General features: G+C 42.0%; 1 protein-coding gene and 1 long non-coding RNA gene across 8 annotated transcripts in view, besides 1 other annotated feature; one reads left to right on the forward strand and one right to left on the reverse strand.

The window, feature by feature from the left end:
- Positions 1-15,617, forward strand: part of LOC105372523 (uncharacterized) — a 44,234-nt gene extending 28,617 nt beyond the window's left edge. Inside the window, exon 3 of the long non-coding RNA XR_937250.3 lies at positions 15,540-15,617. This is a non-coding gene — a long non-coding RNA (uncharacterized LOC105372523). The remainder of the gene's footprint in view (positions 1-15,539) is intronic.
- PAK5 (p21 (RAC1) activated kinase 5) overlaps positions 1-26,466 on the reverse strand; it is a 301,707-nt gene that overhangs the window by 54,188 nt on the left and 221,053 nt on the right. The window lies entirely within an intron of this gene.
- Positions 24,875-25,064: an enhancer, noted in NCBI's record as "active region_17538". NCBI's record gives its function as "activates an Ori minimal core promoter by ATAC-STARR-seq in GM12878 lymphoblastoid cells {active_cell/tissue: GM12878}" and the evidence as "EXISTENCE:reporter gene assay evidence [ECO:0000049][PMID:35858748]".

Consider the following 26,466-nt stretch of genomic DNA (forward strand, 5'->3'; position numbering starts at 1 on the left):
TGAAAATTCTTTCTCTATAACAAAGGAAATGTTACATTGCATTTACTCAAGATTCTGACATTTAAAAATGTAATAACTAATAAAACATGTAGTCTACATATCAATTGCAACTACCTCCCCAAATCAACCAACTGATTAAATTATGCTCTAAATATTGCTAATATGCAATGCTAAGGGCCACAATGTATTGCATTCTCTTATAGTACAAGGCATATTTATTTTAAATTTAGCCAAGAAAAATTTACCTTTGCATGTCCTAAATTTAAATTTCTGTTGTTGTTGTTGTTTTACCTGACATTTCAAACAATCTTTACAAATGTGGAAATTATCTCTTGGAGGCATAATAAATGTTAAGAAACTTGTTAATCTGGAAATAAAACCAGTAGGCAGTCAAATAACATTTTAAACTATAAAGTTGGTATTGTAACTATGCACTGTAATTCATATTTCAGAAATTGACTGTTCTTAGATGCCAAGAAAAGAGTATGCCTTATGCAAAAAATAGAAGAGAAAAGTTGCAATCCAAGTCTTCCATATGTCTCAAAAGTTTGAAACTTCTAACCCCATTAAATATTAAGGTCATCACGGACATAAAGATGGAGAGAATAGACTCTAAGAACTCTAAAAGCAGGGATGGGAGATGGTGGATAAGGAATGAGGGTTGAAAAATTACCTGTTGGGTACAATGTTCAATATTTCAGTGATAGGTACACTAGAAGCAGAACCCCCACCACTATGCGTGTAATATCCATGTAACAAACAAGCACATGTACCTTAGTCAGCTTTACCAAACATTCCTTGATATTCATTACTAATTTCTCTTTGGTGATCAAAGTCAGAGTACTAGTTACCCCTAGGGGAAAGGTGCTCACTGGGATGGGGCCCAAGGGAACTTTCTGGGTGATGAAAATGTTGTATATCTTGATCTTGGTTGTGGTCACAAGAATACATACATTTGTAAAAATTTGGCATACTTTACGTTTATGATTTGTATATCTTATTACACATAAATTATTCCTTTGTCAAAATACATTGGAATTGCACCAAACCAAAAGTTTGCTTGACTTGTCCAGCAAATATGCAGCACTCTATGGGCAGCTTCTGCAAAGGTGGGACATTGGATATACTCAGAATGGGTGTTTGCCAGGCAGCTGTCATGCAAGTAGGTAGGTAGCAATGGGCACTAGAATGTGGATGAACCATGCAGTTTAAGCTGAAAGGAGATTATTAAAGGAGAGTGCTGATAAGTAAGGAGAATGCAGCAAGGTCAAAGACTGAAAGTCTAAGGGAGAGAGAACAGGTGTTGTGGGATGTGGCTGTGGGTGGGTGGCTGGTTCAGAGGGGAAGAAAATCCCATCTCTTAAACCCAATCAGAGATACAAGCCCGTAGCTGAAATATTCCAGTAACTCTTAGCAAATGCCAAAGAAATGATGCTATTCATACTATTAGGAGTTGGCAGGGCTGGGCACGGTGGCTCAAACCTGTTATCCAAGCACTTTGTGTGGCTGAGGTAGGAGGACTGCTTGAGGCCAGGACTTCCAGACCAGCCTGGGCAACATAGCTAGATCCCTTTTTTTTTCTACAAAGAAAAAAAAAATAGCTGGGCATGGTGGCAAGTGCCTGTGGTCCCAGCTATTCAAGAGGCTGAGGTCGGAGGATCCCTTGAGCCCAGGAGTTGGAGTTTGCAGTCAGGTATAATCATACCACTTTACTCCAGCCTGAGCAACAGAGTGAGACCCTGTATCAAAAGAAAAAAAAAGAGTTGGTAGGTTAGGCTCCCTTCATCCTCAATCTCTTTACCAATCCCACCAGTGGAGCCTGATGCATCTCTATGTACTAACTTGGCTTACCCAGAGACACCTGCAAGTCTATGGTGCTTTCCTTTTTATTTATTTATTTATTTAAATTTTACTTTAAGTTCTGGTATACATTTGCAGAACGTGCAGGTTTGTTACATCTAGGTTTTAAGCCCCACATGCATTAGGTATTTGTCCCAGTGCTCTCCCTCCTCTTGACCCCCACTCCCCGGACAGGCCCCGGTGTGCGATGTTCCCCTCCCTGTCTCCATTTGTTCTCATTGTTCAACTCTGTTCAACCATTGTGGAAGACAGTGTGGCGATTCCTTAAGGTGCTTTCCTTTTGCACCGCAGAAACGCTAACTCTGCAACATTTCTTTCATTTAGATAAGCTATATACAGAATCAAATCATGTCTTTTCTTTTTGCAAAATGAGACATTTATCCCAAGGATCTCTCTCTCTCTCTCTCTTTCTCTCTCTCTCTCTCTCTCCCCCTCCTTATCTAGGGGTAAGAGATGTGTTCACATTTAAAATATTTTGTTCCTTTGAAACCCAATGGAAGGTTTAAGAATGCACCTTGAGGATTTCTAATAACCTGTAGGAAAGGCTAAGGCAGTGAGAGATTCCGCTTCATCTGGCAGCTTCAATTGCAGGGGCTCCCAGCCATGCACATTGGAATCATCAGGGTGGAGGCCAGGGTCTCTTCCCAGACCAATTACATCTCTGATCATCGTTCTAGGGTTCAGTAATTTCTGAAGCTCTTCAGGGGATTCCAATGGGCAGCCAAGTTTGGGAACCATATTGCTAGAACTTCTCCTCCTGCCACTCAAAGCTTGGTCCCTAGGCCAGCAGCATCACCATCACCTGGAAGTTTGTTAGGAATGCAGAATTGCAGCCCCATCCAGATCTACTGAATCACAATCTGCATTTTAACAAAATCTCCAGGTAATTAAAATATACATTGAAGTCTGGACAGCACTGGTCAACCAAGACAACCTGCAGGTCACATTTGCAGGCTTCTAAATTAGTCTGCCTTGGGGAGGTCTTGTGATTCATGGCAACATCCTGTTCCTGAGTAAAGAATTATCTGAGTTCCTTATCTTATTGACACACTGATTAATGAGTAACCTACTGACATTGAAAAGGATGCTGATTTGTTTCTGAATTATGAAGTTTTGCTGGTTTGTATCTGAATCAGGAAATTTCACTGATTGTCTTGCACATAGATGTGTTAGCCTGTATGTTGCAATCTGTAGACAATGACAATAATCCCTGTATTGTACCCTCCAATGAAAAAGGACAACTCTGATATGGGAGTCCCTCTCCTTTCTCCCATACTTTCCTATAAAAGCATTCCAACTTGTAACAGACTTTGGATCATTCCCAACTTTGCTGGTGTGTTTTCCCAGGTCATTTCTCACATTTGACTTCCAATAAATCTTTTTAATCAACTTCTGCTTCGACAGCCCTAATTTTGGTCCACAACCATTTGCCTTTGATTTAGTCTTTACTCCTAAGGTCCCCTTTTCATGATCCAAACCATTTCAACTCAATAAGGATTTTAAAATCAGTCCATTCCCTCTGTGTATATATAAAATCATATATTTATTACGGAGAGAATTTACTGATATATATAAACACATATACACATACATTTAGATATATGTATATTTAGGTGTATTTAGATGTGTGTGTGCATATATGTACATATACACACATATACATATATATATACACATATACATATATATACACATATACATATATATAGAGAGAGAGAGAGATAGTATCAAATAAAAAAAATCTAGCCCCTAAACTTCAGATTAATAGGGTCATTCTTTCATTTAATAGAAAAAGAAACAGCAATTCAAAACAGAAAAGGAAAAATGATTGATTCACAACACCAAGGGCACCTCTGGACATTATGCTCCTAGAATGCATTCTGTGACTGAATGATGGAGCGTATTTATCCCATGTGTTTATCCAAGAGGGCAAGTTTAAGTCCAGAATGCAGGACTCTGAAAAGAGTTTACTGAATAATCCCATTGATTCCCTCAATGATACTAACAGAACAGCACAAACCCTTGTACCAACAAAGAGAGATGATCCACTTCTTTCCTCTCTAAGCTGCCTTGCCAAATTGAAGCTCCTCTTCTCTAAGTTATATCTCAGATAAAGCTTAGTTATATCTTAGATAAAGCAAAACACACACATCAGAAGAGACTCAAACAACATTATCTTTCCTGTTTCCAAAATTGTATTCTATCAGTTGTTTTCACATAAAGACCACAGATTTAACAAAAACATAAAATCCAGGGGTTCTTTAACAAGAAACATAAAATCCAGGGGTGTTTTGGCCCAGGAATGTTCTTGAAGACATCGTTCGCTACTTCATTAAGTGTCCCCCTAGAAAGGCCTCCTGACACACTTATTTACAAATTAGAGTTAGAAAGCTTGGCTTTCCTAGAGGAAATTCTGCTTTTCCCACTCCCCTTTTCTGTTGATAGAAATCTTGTAACTGTTTCAAATGGACTCCCCAGAGGCTTGAAAAAAATCAAATTTATAGCTTAACTATTGATTTTGTTCATGTGTAAGGCCTGTAGTCTACTTGCATTCCCTTCTGTCTCTTCTTCCTTCCATAATTTACGTGTTTCTTGGCCTTCACTGTTGAACTATGTAATTTGCCACACCTTTATTACATGGAATTTCATTGTACATTAATGCTATTCCACTTGGGAAACAAAGTTGATTTTTAAAAAATTCCTCTCAATGACCACTTCTGGTCTTTAATTTCCTCCCTTATGAAAATGTATTTAAGTAGTCCTCAGCAATTTTAAAATCCCTTGATCTTACATCTGACCCAGGATGCTGGAGCAGGTCAATCAACTAGGGTCTTCTGAAGGCTGTTTACTCTTTAGGAAAATACTACCCCACTGCACAGACAGAAAACTATATAAAAAGCTGCCAATGTCTTCAGCATCTTAGAAATAGACTACAGAGGCCAGGCACGGAGGCTCACGCCTGTAATCCCAGCACTTTGGGAGGCCGAGGCGGGCGGATCACAAGGTCAGGAGATCAAGACCATCCTGGCTAACACAGTGAAACCCCGTCTCTACTAAAAATACAAAAAATTAGCCGGGCGTGGTGGTGGGCGCCTATAGTCCCAGCTACTCGGGAGGCTGAGACAGGAGAATGGTGTGAACCCAGGAGGCGGAGCTTGCAGTGAGCTGAGATAGCACTACTGCACTCCAGCCTGGGCGACAGAGCGAGACTCCGTCTCAAAAAAAAAAAAAAAAAAAAAAAAAGACTACAGAGAAGTCGTGGCTTGAGGAGCTTTTAAAAATCCTTTAGCCCAGACTGCACCCAAGAGCAAATACTTAATAAATAAGAATCTCTGGGGTAAAGACCAGGCAGTGGTAGTTTTAAACCTCTCCCAGGCAATTCCTAGTATTTGAGGTTGAAAACCCGTGTCCTAATGCAGTGCGTATTAAACCCTACTTGGCACATAAATGCCCCAGGTATCTCCTTAAACAGCAGACTCCAAGGGAGCAGGTCTGGCATAAGGCTCAATATTCTGAATTTCTAACAAGCTCTTAGGTGAGGCTAATACTGCTGGCTGCAGAGCATGCTCTTAGTTGCAAGGTCTCAAAGAATAGATTGTGTTCCCTTGGTGGCTGAACTGGGGTTTACATATTCCAGGGAAAATGAAATCAGCACCATGTCCTAGAGAGAGTGCTGGATTATAAATCTGGCAATCTGGATTCTAGTGCAAGTTCCATCTGTGGCAACTATGAAGCCTTCACCAAATCACTTTCCCTTGCTGGGGCTATGGTCCTTATCTGTACTGAGAGGGTTTCCCTGGCACCCTTCTAGCTTCAAAATTCTGTTGCTTTGAAGGCTCTCTCCATGTCTCAGCTAATCCAGATAGTTACAGCTCCTACAAAGTGCAAAGCAGCTGGCTTGATTGAAAAACAATCTGATAGGTGCTTACCTACTGGGAGAGAAAACTGTATGCATGAACTGAGGTTTGTGTATGCTTTCCTTCACTTTTAAATTCCTAAAACAAGCACTGACCCTTTATGTGAACAAATCCTAGGTTACTTACATGAGCACATCCTGTCACATGCCATTTGGTGTCCTGACACATTCTTAACAATGTCAGAACCAAACTCGAGTAGGTTGATGCAAAAGTGGTTCCAATTCTCCTCTTCTGTCTGTATGCATGTCCTTTGGAGTGTGACTCCGCACCTCCTCCCATCAGGAGATGGAGTCTGTTTCCCTTTCCCTTGACTTTGGGTTTAGCTCTGGCCAATGGAATACAGCAGAGATGATGTTGTGCCCAATCAAGTCTACGTTTCTAGAGGCTGTGCAGCTTTGAATCCTGCCTGGTTACCATGTGTACAAGTCTGTACTAGCCTGGTGAATGATGAGAGACACGAGGAACAGAGACCAGTCTTTCCAGCTGAGGCCATGCTAGGCCAGCCAGCCTCTAGCCAACTCAGAAGCTGATGCGAGTGAGCCCTGATGAGGCTAGAACCATGGGTCAAGCACAGGCCAAACTGCCAACTTGCTGAATTGTGAGGAACAATAAACAGTTTTTAAAAAAATTTATTTTAAGTTCCAGGATACATGTGGAGGACGTGCAGTTTTATTACATAGGTAAACATGTGCCATGGTGGCTTGCTGCACCTATCAATCTCTCACCTAGGTAGTAAGCCCTGCATGCATTAGCTACTTATCCTGATGCTTTCCCTCCCCCCATGACAGGCCCAGTGTGTGTTGTTCCTGGCCTATCTCCCTGTGTCCATGTTTTCTCATTGTTCAGCTCCCACTTATGAGTGAGAACATGCGGTGTTTCGTTTTGTGTTCCTGTGTTAGTTTGCTGAGGATGATGGCTTCCAGCTTCATCCATGTCCCTGCAAAGGACATGATCTCATTCCTTTTTATGGCTGTGTGGTATTCCATGGTGTATACATATCGCACTTTCTTTATCCAGTCTATCATTGATGGGTATTTGGCTTGATCCCGTGTCTTTGCTATTGCAGATAGTGCTGTAAGAAACATATACATACATGTATCTTTATAATAGAATGATTAATGTTCCTTTGGGTATATACCTAGTAATGGGATTGCTGGGTCAAATGGTATTTCTGGTTCTAGATCCTTGAGGAATCACCACACTGTCTTCCACAATGGTTGAACTAATCTACATTTCTACCAACAGTGTAAAATCATTCCTATTTCTCCACAGCCTTGCCAGGATCTGTTGTTTCTTGACTTTTTAATAATCACCATTCTGACTGGTGTGAGATGGTATCTCATTGTGGTTTTGATTTGCATTTCTCTAATGATAGTGATGTTGAGCTTTATTTCATATGCTTGTTGGCCGCATAAATGTCTTCCTTTGAGAAGTGTCTGTTCATGTTCTTTGCCCACTTTTGATGGGGCTGTATGTTTTTTTCTTTTAAATTTGAATAAATGCTTATTGTTTTAAACTCTTTTTATACTGTGGTAAAATATACATAAAATTTACCATTTTAACTATTTCTAAGTATAAAATTTGGTGGTATTCAGTCAATCCACAGTGTTGTACAACCATCACCACTATTCCTTTCTGGAACTTTTTTTAAATCATCTCACGTAGAAACTTTGTACCCATTAAACAATAATTCCCCTTCCCTCCAGCCCCTGGTAACCTCGAATCTACTTTCTGTTTCTATGACTTTGCCTATCTAGCTTCCCCATATAAGTGAAATCACACAAGACTTGTTCTTTTGTCCCTGGTTTATTTCACTTCGCATAGTGTTTTCAAGGTGCATCCATGTTGTAACATGTATAAGAATTTCATTCCTTTTAAAAGTTGAATAATATCTACCACATTTTGTTTATCCATTCATTCATCTGTCAACAGACATTTGGATTGTTGCACCTTTTGGCTGTCGTGAATAATGCTCCTGTGAACATTGATATACAATAATCTGTTCAAGTCCTTGTTTTGAACTATTTTGGGTGTACTGAGTAGTGGAGTTGCTAGAGTTAAGTCCACGTTTAACCTTCTGAAGAATCAACAAACTGTTTTCCACAGCAGCTGCACCATTTGGTATTCCCATCAGCACTGCATGAGGATGCCAATGTCTCCGCATCCTTGAAACACTTGTTATTTTCCATTAAAAATATTATTTTAATCATAGCCATCCTAATGGGTGTGACTTAGTATCTCACTGTGATTTTTGATTTGCATTTTCTCAGACTATGTTGATTTTCTTTTCCTGCACTTATTAGCCATCTATATATCTTCTCTGGAGCAGTATCTAGCTATGTCTTTTGCTTGTATTTGAGTTGGGCTGTTTCTTTTTATTGTTGCTGAGTTGTTACAGATTTTTCTATATTCTGGGTATTAATCCCTTATCAGATATATTATTTGCAACTATTTTCTCATATTCTACGGATTTTCACTCTCTTAACAGTGTAATTCAGTGCAAAAAGTTTTGCATTTTGATAAGTCTAATTTATCATTTTTTTTCTTTCGGTGCTTGCGCTTTTGGTGTAATTTTCAAGGAATTATTACTAAATCCAATGTCATGAAGCTTCCGCCATGTTTCCTTCTAAAAGTTTTATAGTTTTAACTTCTGTGGTTACATTTTGACCCATTTTGAGTTAATTTATGTATATGGTATAAGATAAGGGGCCACCTTCATTTTTTAGGCTGTTGGGTATCCAGTTCTCCCGGCGTTATTTGTTGAAAAGATTATCCTTTCTCCATTAAATAGTCTTGGTTGCCTTGTGGAAAAGCATCTGACCTCATATGTGAGGGTTTGTTTCTGAGTGCTATATTCTATTCCATTGGCCTAGATGTCCGTTCTTATACCATTATAATATTATTTTGGTTTTAATTGTAGTTTTGTAGTAAGTTTTGAGATCAGGAGGTGTGAATCCTCTAACATTGTTCTTTTTCAAGAGAGTTTTGGCTATTTGGGCCCTTTGGGATTCCATATGAATTTTAGGATGGTTTTCCTATTTCTGTAAAAAACACTGTTGACATTTAGATAGGGATTGGATTGAACCTATGGATGACTTTCGTAGCATTTTCACCTTAACAATATTATGTCTTCCAATGTATGAACAGAGGATGTCTTTTCATTTATTTATGTCTTCTTTCTCTCAGTAATGTTTTGCAGTTTGAGTGTATTTTAAGCTCTTTAGCTTCAGAGTGCTTTGTTACACAGACTTATTTGTCATAATAGATAACCATTATTGATCTTAGTCCAGGCCACTGACTCTAAGGCTGCTGATTTCTCTGCTGGATAGAAAGCTCCCAGCAAGGGATTAACCTTTCTTATCTGCAAAACAGGTTGTCAGGGGAACTGCTTCTCTGCTGTCCTCACATTTCCCTGCAGAGTCTTCCACTGGAATAATACTTCTGTTCTCTCCCACCTCCCCTACTCATCTGCATGTGGCAGGGAGTGTGGCTTATCTGGCAGGGGAGAAAGGAGAACGGTTAGGGCCCATGCATGGCTCAAAGGACCTTCTCTTCATTTTTTCTGGAGAGTTTTCCTGTCTGCATAGCCTGTGTTTTCTACTTCCATGGGGTAAGGACCCAGAACTTCTCTTCTGGAGGTTAAGAGTCCCACTCTGACCCCAAACAGGCAGGTAAGTGTGTGTAAAGTGACTCCTCTGTAGCAGGTTGACCAGTATCAGCCTTGCAGAGCTCTCTCTTATATCTAAGCTGGAGGGTGAGATAGAGGTGTATATTGTACAAGGCCTCCTTAGTAAATGGGGCTTTATAATAATAAAGCTGATATCTGGATTCCCATCTATCTTTCCCACAGCCTATTACAAGGGAGAGTCTGCAAAGATATTCACATTGCCTTAATTTCATGTGTAAGCATAATAATTTGAATTAGCCCTGGAAATGAGAGGAAAGCAAGCAGAATTTCCAAGAATTTAGAAATTGAGGAAGAGAGTTGCTACCAGAATGGGGGAAAGAGGTCAGGAGACAAAAAGGGTTAAAACAGAAAGGGTTGGTTCTATAACAAGAAAGTTCCCCTTTATTAATCTTTATGTGCTATCATCTGTCTCTTGCATTTGATCGTCCCAATAGCCCTAGGAGACTTATATTATTATTACACCTCATCTTACAAATCAGAAAGAAGAAGTTACAAGCATTGACTGAGGTTCCATAGCTTTTTTAGTGGTTGTAGCAGGTGAAATATTCTCTCGATTCTTCCCTCCTTCCCTGTGATGATGATATATCTCACCGTCTGCATGTGACTTTTTAAGAGCCTCCCAGTAGAGTGGGACCCACTGACTTTGAACTTGGCCACGTGTCTTGTTTTGGCCACTGGAATGTTGGTGAACTGACAAAAGCAGAGGCTATTATATATATCGACTGGTTCCTTGAGTCTTTGCCATCTGCCCTGAAAAAAACCTGACCTGGGCAGTTGCTGGTCCAAAAAAAATGCCAAGAGGCGTCCAGAACAGACCTGAACCCAACCTAAAACCCGCAGCCAACTCTAAGTGACCTGAACCTCAAAGCAGAGTAACCCTACCAGCCTAAGACCCATGAGCAAGAAAAAGAAATGTTTGCTGTTATAAGTCATTAGCATTTGTAGGGTTGTTTGCTATGTAGCATTTTGGCAACCATAGTTGACTAATACACTGGTGAACTCGGGATTAAACTCCAGGAATGCACTTTGGGAGGCCGAGGCGGGAGGATCACGAGGTCAAGAGATCGAGACCATCCTGGTCAACATAGTGAAACCCCGTCTTTACTAAAAATACAAAAATTAGCTGGGTGTGGTGGTGCACTCCTGTAGTCCCAGCTACTTGGGAGGCTGAGGCAGGAGAATCACTTGAACCCAGGAGGCGGAGGTTGCAGTGAGCCGAGATCACACCACTGCACTCCAGCCTGGCAACAAAGCAAGACTCTGTCTCAAAAATAAATAAATAAATAAATAAATAAATAAATAAATAAATAAATAAATAAAATAAACTCCAGTAATGTCTGAATGCAGACCCCTTGCTCCTAATGTTGCTACCATACAACCTAGGGAATAATAGTGCCCATGGCTAGCTGCATTGTATTCAGGTGGAGCACAGCCCCTTGGTGTCTGGGATGTGCTTACTACAGATGCTCACCTGTCATGAATTAATTATCTTTATGGCTAGTGCTTCAGGCTGATTCGTCAGTCAGTTTCTGAGAATCTAAAAGTTCTTTTTGCAGATCATTCTATTCTCATCATTTTGCACTGCAGGACTTTTCCATGCTAGATTAGTAGCTAGTAAGAAGCTTGGTTTACATGCAATATTTGACAGAGCTGAGATTCAGAGCTGCTCCAAATCAGTCAAACGTGACCACAGCATCTGAGCTGAACACAGAAAGGATCCTCTTCATCAATCAAAGTTCGGTTTCCTCTGAGGGAATAATTAGAACTGAATCCAAGGATATTCCCCATCTTGCCTGAACTGTACATGTAACAGAGCTTTAGCAGGCAAAACTATCCATTTATTCAATCTACTCTAACTAGAAAATAACAAAACAAAAACCAAAAAGCAAGCAAACAAAACAAAGATGTCATCACTCACGAATTTCAGTTCTAATTCCTCTAAGTCACAGATGGTTTAGACAGAGGTGGCTTTGATGTGAAAGCCAAGTTGATTTATTTTGCCTCATTTTATCTTAGCAAAGAACCCAGGAAGGTGGGAGGGACTACTTTCAACACGGAAGCATCACAAAGTGCAGCAAGCTGGAAGGAATGGTGCCCTGGAGGGGAAAGATTATAGACGCCTCCGGTGTAGAAAATGGCCAAATGGCCTACAAGCTACCTGCCAATGACACAGTGACTTTCTGGGTAGATGGAGCTCTCAGGAAGTAATGCAAGCACTTTTGGCCTTTCCTGGGAAGTGTTTCTAGTTGGGGAGGGAGAACACATTGGCAGCAGCAAGCTTTACCTGGAAGAGAGGAGGTAGCCATCCATTTTCTTTATCTGTGTCAACTCCACCTTCTCTGTTTTCTTCTTCCCGCTTCTGTGAATCCCTTCCATTCATTCCACCTCATTCCCTGAAGACTCCAAGTTCTGCCCTATTTATATCAGAGAATCAGCTCCTCCTGGCACCCAAAGGTTTCTGCCTCTCCCTGGCTGATCCCCAGCTCACATACAGCTTCTGCCTGAGAAAAACATTTAAGACTGTCTTTCCATATTGTTCTTCTTGATGAGCTAATACCCCAACTGGTACGTTAGTTAAGCAAAACTGTGTACATCCTCACCCATGATAGGGCTTTCCTGACTCCAGATAGCTTATGGATTCAAGTTATTTTTCTAGATTTACAGATAACATTAGAGTGCTTATGCTGTGCTGCTATACACACCCTTTGAAGTGCCTGCTCTCCCTCTCTGTCTGTATATAATCTCCATAACAACCGTATGAGATTTGCACTATTATCCCCATTTTACAGGTGTGGAAACTGAGTCTTGAGCCAGGAGGTAGAAAAGCTGTGCCTCTGAACCCAGGCCGTCTAGCTACAGAACCCACATCTTCACTGCTACATTCACATTGCTAACGTCATAAAAAAAGCTTTACTTCCTGACAGTTGTGTTAAGAGCTTTACATATATTTTCAAATTTAATCCGCTAAAAAATCCTATAAGATTGGCAGAATTATGATCACCACACCACAAATTATTGATATCAGGGTAAACACACCTGATAGCAATAACTTAAACACATCCTTAGAATAACCCTGTATGGCAGATGCACCTGAATGTGTGTTCCAAGCTAGGGCATCCGGGAGTGGCCAACCTGATTAGTTCCTTGTCAATGACAAATATCAGAGCCCCTGGGCTCTTCTGTGGAACACAAGCTGCCTAGGGCACTGAGGTCCTGAGTTTTGGGTTAAATGAAGGTTGCCAGCTGGATGTCATTAGGGGGAAGGTGCTATGTGAAAATGCTACATAAACTGCATGCTATTTGCAAGCAATTGCGGTTTTCCTGCCACTGGACCCTCTCCCCTGTATGTGAGCCCCCTAATAAAACCCCATGTCTCATTTTCTGGCTCTGGGTCTCTTCTCTGGCCTCTTGAATGGGGTCCCCTTTGCTATTGAGGTTAACAGGAGTTTGACACAACAGCATATGGCACAAGGACACTGAAGTATGGAGGACAAGCCACTCAGTGAAGGTCACAAAGCTATAGTTTAAGTGGAGGAATCAGGTTTTGAAGCCAGGTCTCTCTAGAGCCAAAGCTTGTTCTCTTAGCTAGAAATCCTATTCACACCCCTGCATCCAAACTTGTGACCTCTAATGACTCCTCCTGCTTTGTGAGTCCCTCCAGCTTGATCTGCTTTGTCCCTTTGCCACCCACACACCAAAATGACACCTCTTTCTCCTCCCTCTTTAGACATTTAGAGAAAAGATACCTGGTTGTCTTGTCAGTTTTCCGCCTCCAAGGGGCCATGGAATGCTGTAGGCTAGGCATTCTATGGCAGGGAGGAAAAGCCCAGGCTTGTACAACTCCTCACTGGGGCGTTATCTGGGATGCAGCTTTATTCAGAAGCACTAGGTACCCCAGTACAAGGAACTGTAGAGAGAATAAGTGTTCTAATTTGGGTTCCCTTGAAAGCAACTCAAGGAAGAAGGACTTTAGTGCAGGTTCTTTATTTGTGAGGAGATTCCAGAAAGCCACATGACAGACTGAAGAAAGTGCAATGAAAATGAGAGAAATCCACATTGGGTGCCCCATTGAGCTGGTTAATGCTGTGGGCAACTGGGCCTCTGTGCTGCAGCAGATGCCCTGCAGAGCCATGTCAAATGCAGGTCAGAGAAGCGGGGGTATTTATCCAAGAACTTCCTTTCCACATTGGTTAAGGATTACCTTTGGGGGCATTCATTGCCTGGCATTTCTGGGCAGGATTGTCATGTCAGAGAAAGCCCTTGGACACAGAGCAGAGAGAAACTGTTAGTGTGCATGAGATGAGTCCACCAAAGCTGCAGGTAAACTCAGGTGTGTTCAGGGGATATGAAGCAGGGCATCTTCATGACTGCTGTAGCCAGCTTTGCACATGGATAGATGTAGGTTTGAATATCTGCTCTGTCACCTAACTATAAGGTCTTATGCGAACTATGGAAACCTCTCTGTAAATATCAGATTCCTTCCCTAAAAAACAGACATAATGATATATTGCTAGATTGGAGGAAGGATTAAGTGAGACATGGTATGTGTTAACACCTGGCACAGTGTCAGGTATACAGTGGACAACTACTATTGCTTCCCCACTGGGTTAAAAGTGAAGAGAATTGCCAGGCAAGGTGACTCATGCCTTTAATCCCAACACTTTGTGAGGCCAAGGCAGGCGGATCACTCGAGACCAGGAGTTAGAGACCAGCCTGGTCAACATGGTAAGACCCCGTCTCTACTAAAAGTACAAAAAATCAGCCGGGTGTGGTGGCATGCAGCTGTAATACCAGCTACTGGGGAGGCTGAGGTGGGAGAATGGCTTGAACCTTGGAGGTGGAGGTTGCAGTGAGCCGAGATGGCGCTACTGCACTCCAGCCTGGGTGACAGAGCGAGACTCCATCTCAAAAAAAAGTGAAGAGAATTTAGACAGACTAGATGGTCAAAAGTGTAAGCACCAGTGTTACTCACTTTACTTAAATTTCTGGATGCTTAGTAGGTTGATATGATTTGGATCTGTGTCCCTGCCCAAATTTCATGTCAAATAGTAATCTCCAATGTTGGCGGTAGGGCCCGGTGGGAGGTGACTGGATCATGGGGGGTGAACTTCTCATGAATGATTTAGTGCCATCCCCTTGGTACTATTCTCATGATAATGAGTGAGTTCTCACAAGATCTCAGTCTTCAAAAGTGTGTGGCACCTCCTGCCGCCCTCTCTTCCTCCTGCTCTAGCCATGTGATGTATCTGCTCCACCTCTGCCTTCCCCGATGATTGTAAGTTTTCTGAGGCCTCCCCAGACACCAAGTAGATGCCAGCATCATGCTTCCTGTGCAGCCTGCAGAGGAGGTGAGCCAATTACTCTTTTCTTTATAAATTACCCAGTCTTAGTTAATTTTTTGTAGCAGTGTGAGAATGGACTAATACACAGGTGCTTGTCAAGTGAAGGAAGGAGTAAAAGACCCCACATGTGGACCGTAGCCCAGGAGGGGCAATAACTACAATTATATACAGTGGCATGAATAAGGCTGAATCTCATAATCATAATGTTGAGTGAAAGAAATCAGGCACAATCATACAGGTACTAAAGAATTCCATGAAAATTAAGTTCAAAAACCAGCAAAATGTATAGTTGGCAACGGTGACCCATGGAGGTGATTGAGAATGGAAGCAGACACAAGGTGAGAATCTGCTGGGGTGGGTCTATAACATCGTGATTCTTGATCTGATGTGTTTCCTTTGTGAAAATGTGTTGGGCTGTACACTTCATAACTTGTGCACTTAAAGAATACATTAAATGTCAATTAAAACTTAAAAACATAGGGGTGAGAGAGTATAGGCCTTGGTTTTCAAGCATTGTAGGACCTGCCTCCCCATGAAATGAGAAACAGAGACACCAAGAGATAATTTCCTTCTGTGTGCATCTAGAACAAAGAGACTTAAGAAAGCCAATCAATTTTAGAAAATTAACTAAAATTTGATATAAAAGATCTTTTGCTGATTTATGTTTTAAAAATGAAAGTCTATATTTCATATTCTCTACTAACTTCCTCCTCCCATACCTTCTAATTACAGAGGGGAAAAGAGTAACGTTGGAGTTGAAAAGCCTGGCAGACACCATGTTCGACTGAGTGATCAGAGTGAGCGCCGCCAGCCATGAAACACACTGAATCTGGAACAATGGTGCAGCCCACTATGGCTTCTCTGATAGTCCTGCCAAAGGTGCATCACCTGAACCTGACTATGAGAAAGTGTCAGCCAAAGGAAAATGGAGGGACATTCTGTAAAACAACTGGCCTGTGCTCTTCAGAAGTGCCAAGGCCAATATAAAGAAAGGCTGAGGAACTGTTCTGGAATCAATAAGACTAAAAAGAGATATGACAAAATATGCAACATGTGACTTTCAATTGGATCTTCATTATTAGGGCAACTGGAGAACCTTCTTGGGACCTGATAAATAAGTGGCAGTAAGGTCTCAGTGTTAATGTCTTAATGTTGATGGTGGCATGTGGCTGTGTAGAAAACGCAGGCATGGCGGCTCACACCTGTAATCCCAGCACTTTGGGAGGCCAAGGTGGGAGGATCACTTGGGCCCAGGAATTAAAGACCAGACTAGGGAGACCCTGTATCTACAAAAAATATTTTAAAAAATTAGCCAGGCATGGTAGGTAGCATGTGCCTGCAGTCCCAGCTACTCCGGAGGCTAAGGTGGGAGGATTACTTGAGCGTGGGAGGTTGAGGCTACAGTGAGATATGATCTTCATGCCACTGCCCTCCAGCCTGGGCAATGCAACAAGACTCTGTCTAAAAAAAAAGAAAAGAAAAAAGAAAAGGAGAAAAAGAAAATGATGCTTCTTTTTGGTACTATTAGTCGATTTAGACTGCTTTAACAGAATGTCACAGACTGAGTGGCTTTTAAACAATAGAAATCTATTTCTCACAGTTCTGGAGGCTGGGAATTCCAAGATCAAGGTGCTAGCAGGAACAGTGTCTGGTGAGGGCACACTTCCTGGTTCACAGACAGCCATCTTCTCACTATAACCTCACACAAGGGAGCTGTATGGGGTCTCTTTGACAGGGACTCTAATACCATTCATAAGGGCTCTGCCCTTATTGACCTAATCAATCACCTGCCAAAGGCCCCACCTCCAAATATCACCACACTGAGGGTAAGGATTTCAACATACAAATTTTGGAGGGATACAAGTATTCATTCTATAGCAGGTAGGTAACACACTATGGTATTTGGAATGACAGAATGTCAGGTTGGCAACTTAATAGATTCAGGACATAAAGTTCTTTATATGGTACTTGTAACTTTTCTGTAAATTTGAGATTATTTGAAATAATGAAAAGTTAGGAAGTTTCTATGAATGCCTTAGCCAAGAGGACTCCAGCGCTTGGAGGACAGCCAGTCAGTCCAAAACTTGAGGTGGAAGCATTCCTTCCTGGTGTGGATTTGAACTGGCAAGTAATCCTCCATTGTCTCTAGGTAAGACATGGTGTTCAGACATCCATGATCTCAAGTGATGTCTTTTAATTTGACTTTCAATCTTGTTTTCAAAATCAGAGGAAAAATATTTTAAATATCAAATATCTTCTCTGCATGAGCAGACAGGGTATTTTTAAGAGAAAAATGTGTGTGCAATGTGCACATATTCTGAAATTAAAAGCAAGTTAATAGGGGGATTCTAAAATGAATTAATTTATAGGAAGCTGCTGAAACACTATTTGAATCATTTAGATTAAATGTGCTTTACTAGACAGATCCACTTCTACTGTGTTCTATTATCAGCAGTAGATTGGCCCTGACAGCCCTAATAAATTAAACTGTCCAGCTGCTGCTCCTTCATCTATCTGATGCAGCTGGTGATGGCAACAAGAATAAAAGAAGAGAAAAGGAAAACCTTAGAAATGAAGGATCTTCAACATGATGAAGAATAAAGCAACGTATCTGCAGATTTCGTGAATTAGTGATGCCTCTTCACCAAGTTGTACTTATTGTCGGGAACATATGAATTCAACCCCCTGGTGGAAGGGCTCAGGATGAGAGAACCGCTTCTCTTTGCAGTCAGACACCTGGGCTTTGTGTAACAAGGCATTGGCAACCACATGATGCTGGGTGGGAAGGGGAAAGCACTTTACACAGCCTCTCTAGTAATGAAGACAGACTTGCCTTTGCCTCCCCAGGCCCAGTTCAGTGGCTGTAATTTGCAAGCTGATGAGTTGGCTTTCAGGTAGAGTCACAGCCAAGAGAATGAGTCAAATGAAGACATCACCTGCAGTTGCAACCCCGTTTGTCCTGCCCTAAGCAACTGAGCTAGTGCCACCACTTTCCAGATTGATGAAAATCAAAGTATCACAGTTTAACCTCGCATAGGTGCCCACATATCCAGGTCGAGGGCAAAACATAAGTGTGAAAACACTGACAATTTCCAGGCAAAGACACTCAAGGGGACAGAGCAGGCCGAGATGCAAACTCTTCCTTTCCTTCTGCAAGGCCTGCGTTTATGGTGGGGGTCACATGGAGCAAATGAGTCCACCAAAGGCACAGTCCTGGAGTTCTGCTGCCAACCCTCAGCCACCAGTGGTCAAAGCCATCAGAGGCAGGAACATGAGGGTGTTTTTGCATTTGGGCACTGGCCATACTATCCTGGAAGATTTTACACCAGCAACACAAAACATTAAAAATGACTATAAATTTTGACAAATTTTCAATTTTAGGAATTTGGAAACTTTGGCCTGTATATTAGTCGGTGGAACTTTAGCATAGACATTATGTCTTCCTGTTTAAAATTCAAATGGATCCTCAAAAATGGTTCCAAATGGAGTGGAAAGAAATCCAGACAGGACAGATGGATATGTAACACTCTAAATCCATTCTATGGAAGGTCTGTAATCAGCCTGTGACGGTAGAAGTAAGTGCCAAATGGTACTTTTCCTTTGAGGTAACCAAGTGTAGTAGCTTTTGTTTTGTTTTGTTTTAAATAAGACACAGCCTTTGTTTTCTAAGAACAACACACAAAGGAATTAAAAACGACTCAAGCCTGCCCCCTGGTGTGAAGATAGATAAAAGCAACCGCAAGGTCTTAAAGTCATCTTCCTGAAAGTATCTTGGTGAGAGCTGAAATCACACCGCCATACGCAAAGCCGAATGTATATAATTGGCTAATAAACTTCACAGTTATTTTTATATTGAATGTCTTCAGAATTGGTATAGCCACTATGGAAGGCATCAAAGAAATGGAAGAATTAGCTTGCATCCTCCAGATAATCATTACTAAACACTTCCCTTGCATGCTGCCCCTAGGTAGAGCTTGAATGTGGCCTTGCACAGTAAGCCTGTACTGGCAGCTATCTCTGTTGTGTTTCTCTGGAATTCTAAAACAAAACTGCTGGGCATGGGGTTTTGATGTGGTTCCATCCCATGACTGTAGACCGATTCTGCATGGTGCAGTGTGCTTGCAGCATTATTACTTAAGATCATATATATTAATATATTTAGCCAAATAGCAAACAAGGGATGTACCTGATGCTTGAATTAACAAATAGGCAAATATAAGATGTCGGCATGTGCAAAAGATCCTAAGGCATTTCCTTTTTGGTCTTTGTAGCAGACTCTGTTGACAGGCTACATAGATGCGCTTGGATTTCTTTAACTGTTCTGGCGTGTCCCTCCCTCGGCATCTGTGTGCTTTGTTTCTAATGGTCTGTGCCCGTAATTTATTGCTGTCATTTGAATGTATGTGTCCCTCCACATTTCACAGGTTGGGAGTGAAATCCCAGTGTGAGGTGGGGCTGTCAGGAGGTGGCTATGTCATGAATGAGATTAGTGCCCTTATAAAAGGTTAAGGGAGCTAGGTGGGCCCATTTCCCCTCCATCTCTTCTGCCACGAGAGGACATGGCCTTTGCCCCTTTTGGCCTTTTTGTCCTTCAGTGCTCATTCAAATGGACATCTCGGAAGCAGACTGTGCCCTCACCAGACGCAAAACCTGCTAGCACCTTGATCCTAGACTTCCAGCCTCCAGAACTGCGAGAAATAAATTTTTATTGTTGGTAAATTTTCCATTCCCTGTATTTTGTTACAGCAGCAGGAAAGGACCAAGATATTCATCTCCAATGGACTGTTCTTGGCCTATTGGAATCCCTTTGCCTGCATAGGCAGAGAAGTGGTAATGCCGGGGAGTAATATGCCACTCTGGAATAGGAATTATTTTAAGTGGAGGCAATTGAGAAAAAGTGGATTCAGAATGAACTCTCTACTCTCCTCCTATCTGCCCAAAAACAGAACATAAAGTCCTGTTGTGAAGGTGTCCCTGCCCCCACCCAAACTGCCATTCCAGGAAGGGGATAACGGCCTTATTATCAGAGAAGAGATGGTACTGAGAGAGTCTACACAAACACACCTTACTCACTAACCCTATCTTTTATATGTTTCCCCATGTGTTTACCTTCCCACAATTTGCCACCCCAATCATCAAAAGCTCTTTTCTTGTCACTTCTCTACAAAATTATCCATCTTTGTTAAGATGCCATATAAGCCCCAAGGTCTAGTCACCCCTTTGAGTTACTCACCACGGAGTTCTCCCGTGTATATGCAAGCTGCACGTGCTAATAAACTTCAGCCTGTCTGTTTGTTTTTATTGTTGTTCTTCACCTATCTTTCATAACTCTAATTTGCAGGGCCTCAGCTGAAGAACCCAGAAGACAGTGGAAAAAGTTTTTCCCTCCCTATATGGGAGTGTGAGAGCCCAACTCTGCCTCAAGAGAGAAGAAAGTCTAAGGAGTTACTTGTGCTCCAGAGCTCCCTGGGAATCAGACAGAGGTGGGAATTTACTTGAGACTGTCCATTACTCACTTTTGTCCCTTTCCTGCCTATTTCCTTCATGCAATTACTAGTTTTTCTTGGGAACACTTCCTCCATAAATTCTTTGTGCAGGAACTACCACTGTGATGTCTCTTCTAGGGAGCCGTCCTGAAAAACTCTGTTCTCCTCTTTGCAGGCAAAACAATGTCATTCTGCCACCCCCATGCCCCTGAGGCACAGGGTGTCTGGCCCCCCATGGAAAATGCTGCAGGGATATGTACTGATTAGACACTGAAACAGAGCAGACAGCAGACCCCCAAATCTAATGCTCTCAATGAGGCCCGTCCTCTGGGGCCGCCCTGCCCTCAGCTCCTACACGCGGCTCCAGTTCTCACTGGGCCCTGTCTGTTGTTCCTCCTGGCACACTTAGCGCATTTCCTCTTAATGTCGTCTCCGTCTGGAGAACATATTTCTCAGTGTATTTGGCCGTTCTCACACTGCTATAAAGAAACACCTGAGACTGGGTAATTTATAAAGAAAAGAGGCTTAATTGGTTCAAGGTTCTGCAGGCTGTACAGGAAGCATAAGTCTGGCATCTGCTCAGCTTCTGGGGAGACCTCAGGAAACTTACAATCACAGCAGAAGGCAAAGGAGAAACAGCCATGTCACATGGCCAGAGCAGGAGCAAGAGAGAGAGTGGGGAGGGGCCGCACATTTGTAAACAACCAGATCTTGCAAGAACTCACTCATTATCATGAGGACAGTACCAAGACGGTTGGTGCTAAACCGTTCGTGAGAACTCCACCCCCCCGATCCAATCACCTCCCACCAGGCCCAGGCTCCAACATGAGTGATTACAATGCAACATGAGATTTGAGCAGGTTACAAAGATCCAAACCATATCACCCAGCTACCCCCAGAGGCGCTCCCTCAACCCATTCTCATCTTTGCTGAAATGTTACTTTACCTTCTTGGACCACCCCATTACCCTGTCACTTTTTCCCCTTTTCTCTAGTTTCCTCATGACATTTATCACCACGTGATGTTTATTAGTTTTTACTGTATCTCCCCCCCCATTAGACTATACAATCTATTAAAAATAGACTTTATTTTACCTATTATTCAATCCCTATTACCTAGAACAGACATGATGAAAAATTGTCTACAAAAGTCCAAAGAGCTAATATTTTAGGTTTTGTGGGCCATCAAGTCTCTGTGGCAACTACTTAACTACTCTGCCACAGCACAGAAGTGGCAATAGAAAATGTAGAAATGAATGAGTGTGGTTGTATTCCAATAAAACTTTATTGACAAAAACAGATGGGATGTCCATTTTCCAGTGACACGTAGGAAGCTTGGAGGTTGCCATGCCATCCTAACAATAATTTAAAAACTAAACAAACAGAAAATTTCAAGAATCTTCTTAGTTCTGTCAGAGAAGTAAGGCCACAGGGCAAACTGCTCCTCCAAATTTGGAGAGGCAGACAGGAGGATACAGAAGATCACAGCTTACCAGAGCAGAAACCCACAGGCAGAACTGTCCATGGGAACCAGTACTGGGTAGGAAATCTGAACTGGGATTGAGGAGTTGCTGGGAGCTCAGTGTGCACAGGTCTGGGAGTTAAAATCTCCAGGAGGGCCCAATCTGAGGGGGCACCCACCCTTTTGTGAGTTTTATCTCCAGGAGCTTAACCAGGTTCTCACAGTGACTATCAGAGAAAAATCTGTTCATGCTTCTGTCAGGAGGAGGGAAAAAGAAACCACTTAAAAATATGCCATAGCATTTAGTTCTTAACAAGGCCTTCCCTCAATAGAAATCACTTTATCAGAGCTTAAACTGTTGGTTTTTAATTTTTTTGCAGAGCCTAATGGACCTGGAGGAAAATAAAAACCCAACTCCATTTCCCCCTAGCCACCCTGTCCTAGCTCAGGGAAAAACTGAGAAGCTGAATGAAGCTCACAGTCCAGGGCACAGGCTCAAGACAGACTGGGTCCTAATCACAGGTCTACACACTGAGTCCTAATCACAGGGCTATGGAACCCTTCCCTTCCCCACACCTCACCAAAGGCCTATTTGCCACCGTTTCTGACCCAGTGCATCACATCTGGCTATCAACAAACAATCACAAGGCATAAAAAAAGGTAAAGACCACAGTCTGAAAAGACAGAGCAAATGTCAGAACCAGACTCAGCTATGGCACGGATGTTGGAACTATGAGACTGGGGATTTAAAATAACTATGATTCATGTGCTAAGGGCTCTAATGGATAAAGTGGACAGTAAGCAAGAACAGATGGGCAATGTAAATAGAGAGATCAAAGTTCTAAGAAAGAATAAAAGAGAAATGCGAGAGATCAAAAACACTAACAAATGAAGGATGCTTCTCACGGGCTCATTAGTAGGCTGGGCACAGCTGAGAAAGACTCTCTGAGGCTGAGGATATCTCAATAGAAACATCCAGAACTGAAAAGCAAAGGGAAAAAATGCTGAATGAAAAAGGCATAGAATATCCAAGGACTGTGGGATAATTAGAAAAGGTATATGTTTAATAGGAATACCAAAAGGAGAAGACAGAGAGAAAGGAACAGATGGAAAGTTGGAAACAATAATGACTGAAAATCAGACACCAAACCACAGATCCAGGAAGCTCAGAGAACACCAACCACGATGAATGTCAAAATTAAGCCTAGCCACATTGTTTTCAAACTACAGAAAAATCAGATAAGGAAAAAAATCCCAAAAGATGCCAAAGGTGAAAAACACCTTACTTCCTTAGAGGAACAAAGGTAAGAATTTCATCTGACTTCATGGAAACCATGCAAGCAAGAAGACAGTGGAGTGAAATATTGAATGTGTTGAGAAAAAAACTCCACCAGTCTAGCATTCTATACTCTGTGACATTATCCTCCAAAAGTAAAGGAGACTTAAAGGCTTTCTCAGACAAACAAAAATTCAGGGAATTTGATGCTAGCAGATCTGCCTTGTTAAATGTTCAAAGAAGTTATTCAAGGCAATAAAAATTGTTATAGGTCAGAAGGTCATATCTACATAACAAAAGAAAGAACATCAGAGAAGAAATAAGTGAAGGTAAAATGAAATTTTTAACTTGTTACTCTTAATCTAACAGATCAATTTGTTCAAAATTATTGTAGCCACAATGTATTAACATATATACAAATGTGCTACCGAGCCATGAAAAGATATGAAGGAAACAAATGCATATTACTAAGTAAAAGAAGCCAATCTGAGAAAAGCTATGTAATATATAATTCCAACCACAGGACTCACTGGAACAGGTAAAACTAAGGTGGCAATAAAAGGATTAGTGGTTGTCCGGGGTTAGGGTGTGGGAGGGATGAACAGGTAGAGCACAGAGGATTTTTTAGGGCAGCGATTCTTTATGATATGACAATGGTAGATACAGCTCAGACACTTGTCAAAACCCATAGAATGTGCAAATGAAAAGTGAACCCTGATGTGAACTATGGACTTTGAGTGATAATGACGTGTCCATGGAGGTTCTTTGACTGCAACAAACATGCCACTTTGGTAGAGAATGTCGATCAAGGGGGAGGCTGTGCATGTGTAGGGGCAGGGGGCATATGGAAATCTCTGTACTTTCCACTTAATTTTGCAGTGAACCTAAAACTGCTCTAAAAAGCAAAGTCTATTAAAGAAAATTCACAATAACCTAAAACAGATGTAGGCTAGATTTGGCCAGAGGGCTACAGTTTGTCGAATCTTGACTTAGAATAAGTCCTTCGTTGAAGAAGTAAAAACTATAACAAAAACCACCAACCAAAGTGTGTTCCAGTTACTGCTGCTGCATAATAAATCACCCCCAAACAACTCTTTGATTTTGCATAATCGTGTGGGTCAGGAATTTTGGAAGGGCATCTGCTGGGCAGTTGTCGATCACTGTAGTCAGATATTGGCTGGGGCTGCAGCCACCTGAGGGCACAAGGGCCAGACATCCATGATGCTCACTCCCGTGGCCTGGCAGCGGATGGTGACTCTTGTCTGGGGGCACAGCTAGGCAGTCTGCTGGAGCACCACATGAGGCCTCTCCAGCATGGAGTTTTCTCAATGCTGCATGCTGCCCCCACAGCAAGCAACCCAAGAAAACCGGTGAAAGCTACATGGCCTTTCCTTTTCTAGTGCTGAGAAGCCTCAGAGTAACTTCTTCCCCATTCTTCTGGTTACAAGAGAATCAGGAGCCAGTCCCACGTCAAGGGGAGGGAAGGTAGACACCACCTCTGATGGGAAGCATGTCAAAGACACTGTGGCTAATTTTTAAAATAAAGCAATGTTGAAACTACACTCCATTGTACTTCTACCTGGAAGCAGGGGATGGGTAGAAATGAAATTAATATTTATCACTATGAACCATGCATGATGTCAAATACAGTACACATGTTAGCCCACAACAACTTCCTGAATTAAAAAGGGCAGTTCCTATATTACAGATGAGGAACTGAAAGCACAGAGAGTTTCAGGTGCTCCTCAAATTACGCCAGTAGCGAGTAGCAGATTCTAATGTCAACGCCAGATGTGCCCAATGTTCATCCTTCCAGACTATTTTATGCTGCTGGAAACACGGCAAAGACAAGTAGCATGTTGGGAAGGGAATCAGCGTTCTCTTCGGCTAAAGCCTTTGTGTTCTCTATGGTAGGGTTTCTCAAACTTTAACACATATATACATCCCCCGGGCATCTTGCGAAAATAGATTCTCATCCTTCAGGGCTGGGCTGGGGACTGAGATTCCACATCTAACAAGCTCCCAGGGGATGCTGCTGCTGCTAGCCTGTGGCTTGCACTGTGGGATGTGGGGCTCTATGGCACAGCAGGGTGATAATACACTGGGGTGCAGTGCCCAGACAAGGCCCAGAGAGCCAAGCAAAGCATGCGTCCTTCCTTAGGGGCCTGATAACCTTCCCTATTCTGGGGGCAGTGAGAGTCTAAGGATAGAAGTCCAGGGGTGGGTAGTGGGTGGAATGTGGTTGAATTCCTTGGCAGTCTGTCCCACAATGCCAGTAGGCATAGGAAGAAGTTAGAAATTGCCATTTTCTTCTGGGAAAATCTTTTTGTTTATTCTTTCACTTTGGTTTTTCTGGAGTTGTACAAAAATACGGATAATTGCAAAAAGCTGGACTATTGCAATTGTGTGTGATTCAGACAGAATAAGCCTGAGAGGCATAACTGAGTCCAGAAAAATGCCAAGTCATAAATCAAAAGTGAGATCAAACTAATTATTCCAAGTGAGTCGATGGCACAACACTTGTTTATCTCAATACATAATCGGCTTCACTAATTAAAATGCAAATTCGATTGCATTTATAACTGGTAACCCTGCCAAGTTAAAGCTTCAATACATCTGATGTGTGAGCTGTACGAACTTTTCAGGGACACTAGGTGGCGCCCGTGTACTTTTCTTGAGAAAGCCAGGCTGCTTTAACCATTTAAAATTTCAATCAGTGGAAAGAAACGAGTTAGCCCAGTGGTTCTCAAAGACATTGAGTCAAAACTCTGGGGATTGGGCCCCAGATCTGTACGGTAAGTAATTCTTCCCAGACGATTTTATTTTTATACCAGTTGGTTAATGTAATGACATTGGAAACAGCTAGCACAGTTAAGCGCTTAATTGCTTAATTGTAATATGATAAAACTGAGGCTGAGAGACTTACTCAATTTGCAGGGATGAGACCCAAGAATCCCAATCCTTTTTTTTTTTTTTTTTTTTTTTTGAAATGGAGTCTCGCTCTGTCACCCAGGCTGGAGTGCAGTGGTGCGATCTCGGCTCACTGCAAGCTCCACCTCTTAGGTTCGCGCCATTCTTCCGCCTCAGCCTCCCGAGTAGCTGGGACTACAGGCGCCCACCACCACGGCCGGCTGATTTTTTGTATTTTTAGTAGAGACGGGGTTTCACCGTGTTAGCCAGGATGGTCTCGATCTCCTGACCTCGTGATCCACCCGCCTCGGCCTCCCAAAGTGCTAGGATTACAGGCGTGAGCCACGACGCCCGGCAAGAATCCCAATTCTTATCTGAACAGCTCTTCTACCAAAGCACGAAAAATAAAAAAAGTGGAAGTTTACATGAGGTTTGTTGTCAAAGCATCAAAGATACCTTTAAGCCTCTAAATTGTGTCCTGAAATTGAAGATACATCTCAGAAGAAAAGGTCGAACCTATCAAAAG

This window comes from Homo sapiens, chromosome 20, assembly GCF_000001405.40.
Source record: "Homo sapiens chromosome 20, GRCh38.p14 Primary Assembly".
NCBI lineage: Eukaryota > Metazoa > Chordata > Mammalia > Primates > Hominidae > Homo > Homo sapiens.